This window comes from Homo sapiens, chromosome 2 (assembly GCF_000001405.40).
Source record: "Homo sapiens chromosome 2, GRCh38.p14 Primary Assembly".
NCBI lineage: Eukaryota > Metazoa > Chordata > Mammalia > Primates > Hominidae > Homo > Homo sapiens.
This window is the reverse complement of record NC_000002.12, coordinates 8,660,303-8,669,775: the sequence shown is the minus strand read 5'-3', so window position 1 is coordinate 8,669,775 and position 9,473 is coordinate 8,660,303. Positions and strand designations below refer to the sequence as shown.

General features: G+C 48.6%; 1 annotated feature.

Moving 5' to 3' along the window:
• Positions 6,327 to 7,526: an enhancer, noted in NCBI's record as "MED14-independent group 3 enhancer chr2:8802380-8803579 (GRCh37/hg19 assembly coordinates)". NCBI's record gives its function as "activates an origin of replication core promoter dependent on BRD2, BRD4, P300/CBP and CDK7 cofactors, and independent of MED14, by STARR-seq in HCT116 cells {active_cell/tissue: HCT116}" and the evidence as "EXISTENCE:reporter gene assay evidence [ECO:0000049][PMID:35650434]".

Sequence of the window (9,473 nt, the reverse complement as noted above, 5' to 3'; positions counted from 1 at the left end):
GGCTCCAACACATTAGCTCACATTCCATTGGTTAGAACTGGGTTTCTCAACTATTAGTACAGGGTGAGTGTAGGGTTTTGGCACCATGGGCATTTGAGCTGGCCAAAGGCTAATCAGAGTTAGAACAAAGCCACAAAGCCTGTGAATGGTGTTTATTGTTGTGAGGAGCTGTCTTGTGCATTGTGGAATGTTCAGCAGGATGCTCTCTGGCCTCAGAGACTCACTAGATTCCCATAGAACTCTCCTCTCTCCTCTAGTTGTGACAACCACAGTTGCCTCCTCTCCAGACATTGCTAGATGTCCCCGGGAGGCAAAATTGTCCTGGTTGAGAACCACTGTGTTAGAACTCGGTCACATGGCCATACCTAACTGCAAGGGAGGGGGCTGGAAGATCTAGACGAGTAGTATGCCAGGAAGAAAATAGAACTGATTTAGAGGCTGCTGGCCAGTCACTTTCAGTGACCTTCAGCATACTTATTCCTCTGCAGCTGTCAGGACACTCATGCCTGTTTCTGAGATGTTTCCTGTGTGAGGGGACATAGTGACTATTGGAGGGGTGACATGTTGGACTTGGGTAGGGTGAAGAGGATTGGAAACCACCATCATGTTTGGCAGCATTGAATGTTTATGACTATTTGAATAGTTGTGACAAGGGTACAGTGAAGGAGGAAGTAACCATTTTTGAATACCCTTTTACAATTTGCAAAGCACTTTTAAAGGTAAGAGTGAGTTCCTAGACCATATTAGGGTGAGAATGGACATTGTTGGCTGCCATATCATTGGGCAGGGGCTTTGAGATTTTTGTCTTCAGAAGGCAGATTAGATTTGGAGTAGAAGGAGAAATGTAAAGACCTGGTATCTGAGTGTGTTTGCAGAGGGGAATTGTCGTTTGGAAGCACAAGAAAGGGAATGGCCCGTTGGCACATATGGTACATTGTGTTTTCATATAATTATACCTGAATGAAAGCAAGAGGAAACGTGTAGGAAGCTGTTTACATAGTCCTTTTAATAATGTTTACATGAGTTAATGAACATGCAAACGTATCTGATGAAAACATGTCAGTAGTGAAACAGCCTTGTGAAGAATCAGATCTTACCTCAGGCTGGAAAAAAGGACTGGTTTTCCAAGCTCACAAATTGCAGCCAGTGTGAATAGTAGCACAAATGACTGAGCTTTAAGACATCCATCCATCCATCTATCCATCCCCTCATCCATCCATCCCCTCATCCATCCACCCATCCATCCATCCCTTCATCCATCACTCCATCCAGCCATCCGTCCCTTCATCAATCCATCCATCCCTTCATCCATCCATCCATCCTTCCTTCCATTCATCCCTTCATCCATCCGTCCATCCATCCATCCATCCACTCATTCATCCCTTCATCCATCCATCCATCCATCCTTCCTTCCTTCCATTCATCCCTTCATCCATCCGTCCATCCATCCATCCACCCATTCATCCATCCATTCCTTCATCAACTCATCCCTTCATCCATCGTCTACCATTCATTCACCCCTTCATCCATCCATTCATTTATCCATCCGTCCATTTACTTCCATCCATCCCTTTATCCATCCATTCACCCATTCATCCCTTTATCCATATGTCCATTCCTCCATCCATCCATCCATCCATTTACTCTTCATCCCTTCATCCATTTTTCCATCCATTCATCCATTCATCTTTTCATCCATCCATCCATTGATCTATCCATCCATCCATTGCTCCATCCAACCATCCATCCATCCCTTCGTCCCTTCATCCATCCATCCATTCATCCCATCATCCATTGATCACTTCATCCATCCATCCTTCCATCCTTCCATCCATTCTTCCATTCATCCATCCATGTGTTCAGCAAGTATTTACTGAATGCCTATTATGTGCCAAGCACTCTCCTCAGAACTTAGGAAATACCAGGAAACAAAATCAACAACAATCCCTCACCACCTGGATATTACATTTTGGTGGGAAGAGACAAAGAAATAAAATTGGTGAGTGAATCACATAGGTTATTAGAAGGTGATAAAGGTGTAGGTGATAAAGGAGAAGTGCCAGGAGCAAGGATTGGGTACAGTTGTGAATAAGGTGGCCCCAATAGGTTGCACTGAGAAGGTGACATTTGCACAGAGACTTGAAGAAAGGAAGGAGAGAACATGACTGTACCTGGGTAACAGCATTTGTGGAAGAGGGAACAGCCAGTGTAAAAGTTCCAAGGCATGAGTGCCTGGTACATACATGGAACATCGAGGCCAGGGTGGCAGAAACGCGGTGAGTCCAGGAAGGGAATAGGAACTAAGTGTAGGAAGGTGTACAGTGGGGTGGTGTGGGGGTGGAATTGTGGCAGCCAGATGGTGTTGGCCTAAGGCCTCTTGGCCCTTGTTAGGACTTGGTTTACCATGGCGCAACACATCCATGAGATTGGCAAAAATTAAAAAGTCTGACAACAGAAAATCTGGTAATCTGGTGAGGATGTGGAGCAGTGGGAATTCTCCAATACTGCCAGGGAGCATGGGCATCAATCCCACCACACTGGAATGCAAAGGGGCATTCTGAGTAGAACTGAAGATGTGCCCATCCTTGACCCCACAGTTCCAGCCATGGGCATGCGCATGAATGTGCACACGTGTTGACTGCGGCATTTGTTTGTCATTATGAAAACATCTAAGTTTCCATCTATGGGAGAGGGGATAATGTGGGAGTGCCCAACAGTGGAGTTCTAGAGAGCAGTAAAAATAAATGGACTAGAGCTGCACACGTCAAAATGGATGAAGATAAAAGACATAAGGATGGAAGAAGACCACCTGGCCACAGAAGTATATGTCCAATATGATGCTGGTGTATCCAGAGTGTTCAAACAAACAACACAACACTACTCATTGTTTCCAACGTGAGTATGAAAGTATGGAGCAGTGCGGAGGGCCAGGAGTGCTGAATCCACATGGTTACTTCTCCAGGCGGGGGCCGAGGACCAGGGCTGGAGGTTTACTCCAGGAGCTTCAGTGGTGCATGCTGAATGTGCTGTTTCTTGGGCTGGGGGACAGAGATGTGCATGCTGTTATACACTCTATATTGAAATGATTGTATAACAATATACTAATTTATCATGTAATAAATTTGACCAGAAAGAAACAACTGTTCTGTGGCTGCTTCCATGACTGGATTTCACGTTGTAGGTTTCTAAGCAGAGAGTCCAAGGAAAACCAAAGGAGCGGCGGAAGGATAAGCCTCCCGGGTGTTCTGGGAGTGTCCCTTTGCTTGGGCTCCTCCGTTAGAGTTGAGAAAACCTGGGACTTGTGACTACTGGAGTCAACCTGGGATCCTGGCACCAAATGCCAGCAGAAACAATCCTGCCCCCCTCGGAAGATGAGATGAGGTTCTTTATGGAACATGAGTGCAGTTCGAGAGCTTCAGGTAGAAAGCCCAGTCGTCCTTACCCTGCGTGGCCCATCCAGGATCACGAATGGGGTCAGCCTCAGGGAGCTATGAGCCTGGTGTCTGAGACACAGCTTGGGCCTTTGTACTGCTGGAAGCACAGGGAACCCTGAGGGTTGATCAACTCCCCAGCAAAGACAAACTGGCATGCTCGTCAGTGTGAGAACAAAGCTACAAGACCTAGGAGTGGCATTTTGCAGATCTGCTGTTTTTCAAAAAAACTTGTGCTTGAATGTGTATAACATAAAATTTACCATTTAAGCCTTGTGTGTGTGTGTGTGTGTGTGTGTGTGTGTTTGAGATGGTGTCTCGCTCTGTGGCCTGGCTGCAGTGCAGTAGCTCACTGCAACCTCCACCTCCCAGGTTCGAGCGATTCTCCTGCCTCAGCCTCCCGAGTAGCTGGGATTACAGGCACCAGCCACTACACCCAGCTAATTTTTTATATTTTTGGTAGAGATGGGGTTTCGCCATGTTGGCTAGGCTGGTCTCGAACTCCTGACCTCGTGATCCACCCAAAGTGCTGGGATTATAGGCATGAACCACCACGCCTGGCCCATTTAAGCCATTTTTAAATGGACAATCAGTGGCATTAAGTGCATTCACGTTGTGCCACCATCACCATCATCCACCTCTGGAACTTTTTCATCTTCCCCAATGGAAACTCTGCCCATGAAACAGCCACTCCCCATTCCCCTCCCCGCAGCCCCTGGCAACCACCCTTCTACTTCCTGTCTCCACGAACGTGACTACTCTAGGTACCACATATAAGCAGAATCATACAGGATTTGTCCTTTTGTATCAGATCTGGGGTTCGTATGCTGAAGGAAACTGCCTGCAAACTCTTCTGTGTGAGTGGAGAAAGGACCTGTGTTTTGAGTGTCAAAGGAGTTTCTGCCCCAAGAGGACTTAGAGTTACCAGGGTGAATCCTTGACTTTTTGGAGGAACGTGTCAGAAGATGTGCTCACTCACATCCCTGAATTCATGGATATTGCCAATGTGAGAATGGCAAACCCGGGGCCCGAGGGTGGCCGCTCTTCACGCAGGCCTGGTGGGGCCTTACTGCTGCTCAGAATCCTTTTTTTTTTTTTTTTTGAGATGGAGTCTCGCTCTGTTGCCCAGGCTGGAGTGCAGTGGTGTGGTCTCGGCTCACCGCAAGCTTGGCCTCCCGGGTTCACACCATTCTCCTGCCTCAGCCTCCCCCACCCGAGTAGCTGGGACTACAGGCACCTGCCACCATGACCGGCTAATTTTTTGTAATTTTTAGTAGAGATGGGGTTTCACCATGTTACCCAGGATGGTCTCAATCTCCTGACCTCATGATCCACCCGGCTCGGCCTCCCAAAGTGCTGGGATTACAGGCGTGAGCCCCCGCGCCCGGCCCACAATCCTTCTTAACACAGTGTGCGGGCAGCCACAGTCACCTGATAGGCCCTGTGGAGGAAACATTTGCCATCTGTGGTCTGTGGCATGTCAGTTACTTTGAAAACTGGAGGTAACACAGTCTGAAGCATTTACATGACTTCTTTGTGCCCTTAAGGTAAGTCAGCGGATGTGTGACAAGTGCTTGGAACCTCCCCGGCTGGGGGCTCCCTTGCCTAAAGACCAGCTCCTCCCCACGTCATGCCTGTCTTCCAGGGCCCGTGACTCCAGCTCTCATTCCATGAAGACGACACACTCCATTTCTCCTGGATGTTTTTTTGTTGTTGTTGTTTATTTGCTTGTTTTGAGACAGGGTCTTGCTGTGTCACCAAGGCTGGAGTGCAGTGGTGCAATCATAGCTCACTGCAGCCTCAGCTTCCTGGGCTCAAGTGATCCTCCTGCCTCGACCTCCCAAAGTGCTGGAATTACTCTAGCCTCTCCTGGGTCTTTGAAGTCTGTGCCTGCACATGGCTGATGCTCAGCTAACCTGAAGTTTTCTCGGCAGTGTGAGTAGTTTTTCACTCTCCCCTCGAGCGGTGATGCTAAGTCCCCTTCATGGAGTTTGCTGTTCATTTCTCTGCTCACAGGGATTAGAACTTGATAGCAAAGAGCAGGAGGGCATCAGGCACTGGCTGGGCTGGCAAGAGGTGTGCCTTTAGCCCTGAGCACGCCCTGAGGAAGCAGCTGTGCTTCAGGCTCCGTGTGACGTGAGGAAGAAGCTGAGAGGCAGAGGCGAGCAACACGTCTGAGGCCGCAGAGCCGCCAAGAGACCAAGGAGCAAAGCCACGGCACCCGTCCCGCTCCCTTTTTTCAGTCAAGTATGAGGGAAATAGTGAGGAAAGTTATTCTTATGTGGAGCGGGACAACAAAAACCCATAAACAACCTTCTCATGTTGGCTCAGAATTGATGGTCATCTGGCTGGTAATGGGATTTTACTCTTGTGTTCTTGAAAGCTCTGCCAGGAAAACCTCACTAGAAAGGCCTGGAAGCTTCTGGAAAATATGGATTTGTAGACCCGCCCCCACCCCTGCCTATCCTATCAGAATCTGTGGTAGAGTAGGGAGTAGGCCAAGGAATTTAAAATTTTCACAAGATTCCTGGGCACTCCTCTAATCATGCCTGGAGAAACACTCTGCAGACCCTCAGCTTTTTAACGGAGGTAGTGATATTGTTTGGCTGTGTCCTCACCCAAATCTCATCTTGAATTGTAATCCCCATCATCCCCATTATCCCCACGTGTCAAGGGAGAGACCAGGTGGAGGTAATTGAATCATGGGGGCGGATTCCCCCATGCTGTTCTCCTGAGAGTGAGTGAGTTCTCACGAGGTCTGATGGTTTTATAAGTGTTTGGTAGTTTCTCCTGCGTTCATTCTTCCCCTGCTGCCCTGTGGAGAAGGTGCCTGGCTTTCCCTTCACCTTCCGCCATGATTGTAAGTTTCCTGAGGCCTCCCAGCCATGCTGAACTGTGAGTCAATGAAACCTCTTTCCTTTCTAAATTACCTGGTCTCGGGCAGTTCTTTATAGCAGTGTGAGAACAGCCTCATATAGCTGGAAGTGTGGCTTTGGAACCTGCATTTTAGACAAGATTCCTCAGCTGATTCTTAAGCACACACCACTTGTGAGCCACTGTCTTCAGGCGCTCATCAGGCACTCAGCAGCAGCGGTTTAGTTTTTCCTGACATTTTGTGTTTTTCAGTAGTCATGGCCATACGGTGATGAAAAGTGGCCATTTTATGATAGAATGGAGGTCCTAACTGTTGGGGACATTGCAGAAACTGCAGGAATTAACCTGTCACATGTTTCATTGAAAAACATGATGATTTATCATCAAAATGAATAAGTTCTTTCACTTTAGTATGTAAACCATATACTATTAGAATGAAGGACACATTTAAAAAATACTAAATTGAAGTGATCTTTGTGTTTTGATGGTGACTGAGTTCTGCTTTGCGTTTTTGTTACCATTTCCATCCTTGAGTTTCTTTGGTCCTGTTCATTGCCCTGGTTCCAACTCGGCTTTTTTCTCCTCTGTAGGCAAAGTTCTAGTGCATACAATCCCAACACAATCGTGGTGTTCTGTAAGAGCCTCTGTGCTCCAGCCGGTTGGGGCACCCATCTGGATCTGACTCCCAGCTCTGCCTTTTCCTCCTCCAGGAGGCAGGGAGGCACCGTGCCTGTCCCAGCCACCTCTAATGACCTCCCTCAGGACTTCTCTAGGTGAGTGACTCAGCTTGACTCAGCTACCAGACTTTTTCTGGGAGCCAGAATATTTTGCCACACAACCAACATATGGTAAACATTCACACTGCCTGAGTACAGTAATTGTAAATTAAACATGCCAGGGAAAAGAAAAAGGCCTAGATCTCCTCACTCTCAAAACGGAGAGATCGTCAGCTCAAGAATGAGAACAAGTTGACAAAGCCATCCCCCCCACCCCCACTCCGCTCTCTGGGGCTGCCGTGGGGATCTGTTGCTCAGAAGGTGGCCCTGAGAGAGCAGAGAAGACACAGGATGCCAGGGTATATGTGGAGAGGGGCGGAGGGGCGTGTCTCCTCAGTTTAAAGATAAAACAGATGTGGTCCCAGCTACTCTGGAGGATGAAGCAGGAGAATCGCTTGAACCAAGGAGGCAGAGGTTGAAGTGAGCCAAGACTGTGCCACTGCACTCCAGCCTGGGTGACAGAGTGAGACCCTGTCTCAAAAACAAATAAAAAGATAAAACAGAGTGCTAAGAAGGAAGCGGCTCTGTTTGAAGTACTTGCCACCGTGGCTGGATCAGCTTTATGTGTTTGCAGGGAGCAGTACAGTTATTCCCAATTTTTAAGTTTGGTGGAGTTTCCCCTTCTGTTTCTTTCTCAGCCGCGTGGAGTTATGGCAATTGAGAAAGGCCAGGGCAGATGCTGACATTTGGCAGCCTCCACAAATGGGATTTCAATGCTGTGAGTCCTGTGGTGGGGCCGTCCTGGCCCCGCTCTTTGGAACGTAGCTGCTGGGAGCACCTCTTCCCTCTGTGTTCCTAGGCTCATGGTGTTATGCCTCTGGGAAAGGGCAGCCTCTTAGAAGCAGCTGGTGTGGGCTGGCGTCCTTGTCTGAGATGGCTTCTTGGCATTTGGTGTTCATGTGACAACACACACTGTATTCCCCGCCTTTCAGAGTCTGGAGTTTTCTTCCCCTGAAGTACTTTTCTCTGCTTTGGAAGATGTTGCTTTTTAGGTCCTAAAGTGGAGTCTGAAGGTTGGAAGAGTTTGGGTTTTTGTTACTGTTTTGTTTGTAAATGTCTTGGCTCTGTGCTGATGGTTTTAAGGATCTGGGAGTGAGGAATGAGAGAGAGATGTGCGAGTGGAGATGTTTTGAGGGATGCTCTAACCTCAGGGTCAGGGTTGGCCATGAAGGCAGGTGGCTTAGGCACCCTTCCTGGGTCATGCTGTCCCCCGCCAGCCTGCTGTGGCTCGCAGGACAGCACCAGTGAGCCCTGGAATGCTCTTGTATAATAGGCTTCCTGGAAGAAGGGCCTCCCTCGTTTGCCATTTGCAACCCTGTTCCCCTATCGTGAGAGGGCATGGCCCAGAGCATTGAAGGATTGAAGGCAGGAGACGTACCTGGAAGGTGAATGGAAAATCCTCACATCCACCTATTCACTGATTCTTATTTTAAAATGAGAGATCAGTGTCTCCAGTGCACCCCAAGTCAGTGAGCATGGGGCATTGAGAAGGTCTAAGTATACCCTAGTATACTGGAAACTAGTTGGGCCAGGAAGCCCAAGGAGGAGTAAGAGAGGAAGAGGGTGGTGTGGACATGGAGGTATAAGACCCCCAGAGCTGCACGCAGGCTGTGGCCATCTACACATGGGTCTGCAGCACCACACAGTGACACCAAACATTTGATGCCGTAGGGAGCAAGAAAACGTCTATAATCAATTGCTTCTTTAAAAGTGTGGTACAGGCCGGGCGCAGGGGCTCAAGCCTGTAATCCCAGCACTTTGGGAGGCTGAGGTGGGTGGATCACGAGGTCAGGAGTTGGAGACCAGCCTGACCAACGTGGTGAAACCCCGTCTCTACTAAAAATACAAAAATTAACCAGGTGTGGTGGTGCGTGCCTGTAATCCCAGCTACTCGGGAGGCTGAGGCAGGAGAACTGCTTGAACTCGGGAGGCGGAGGTTGCAGTGAGCAGAAATTACACCACTGCACTCCAGCCTGGGCGATAGAGCAAGACTCCGTCTCAAAAAAAAAAAAGTGTGGTACCCACAGGGTCAGAGTTTTCTTTTGTTATTTGTTTTTTATTTTGTTGTTTGTTTTTTAACCGACAGTACCTTTTTCGAGTTTGTTTCAGGAAAAAAAAAAAATGTGAGTTCTGAATTTTCTTCCCTACTTGCCCTCCTCCTTCTATCCCAGATACCTGGGGCTGTCCCCTCTTCCCTGTGGACAGTCACTCTGGCCCTGGCCTGAGACTGGATGTCAGCCCTGCCTCTGTGAGCCCTGCCAGCCCCGTCTGCTGACAGCAGCTGCACGCTGATGTCCAGACTCCACGACCGGCCTGAAGCCTGTCAGGGTCCAGCCAGCCCACTGTCCAGCCTCAGCTTCCATCTCTTGCTCCTCTCCCATGATGCTCCAGC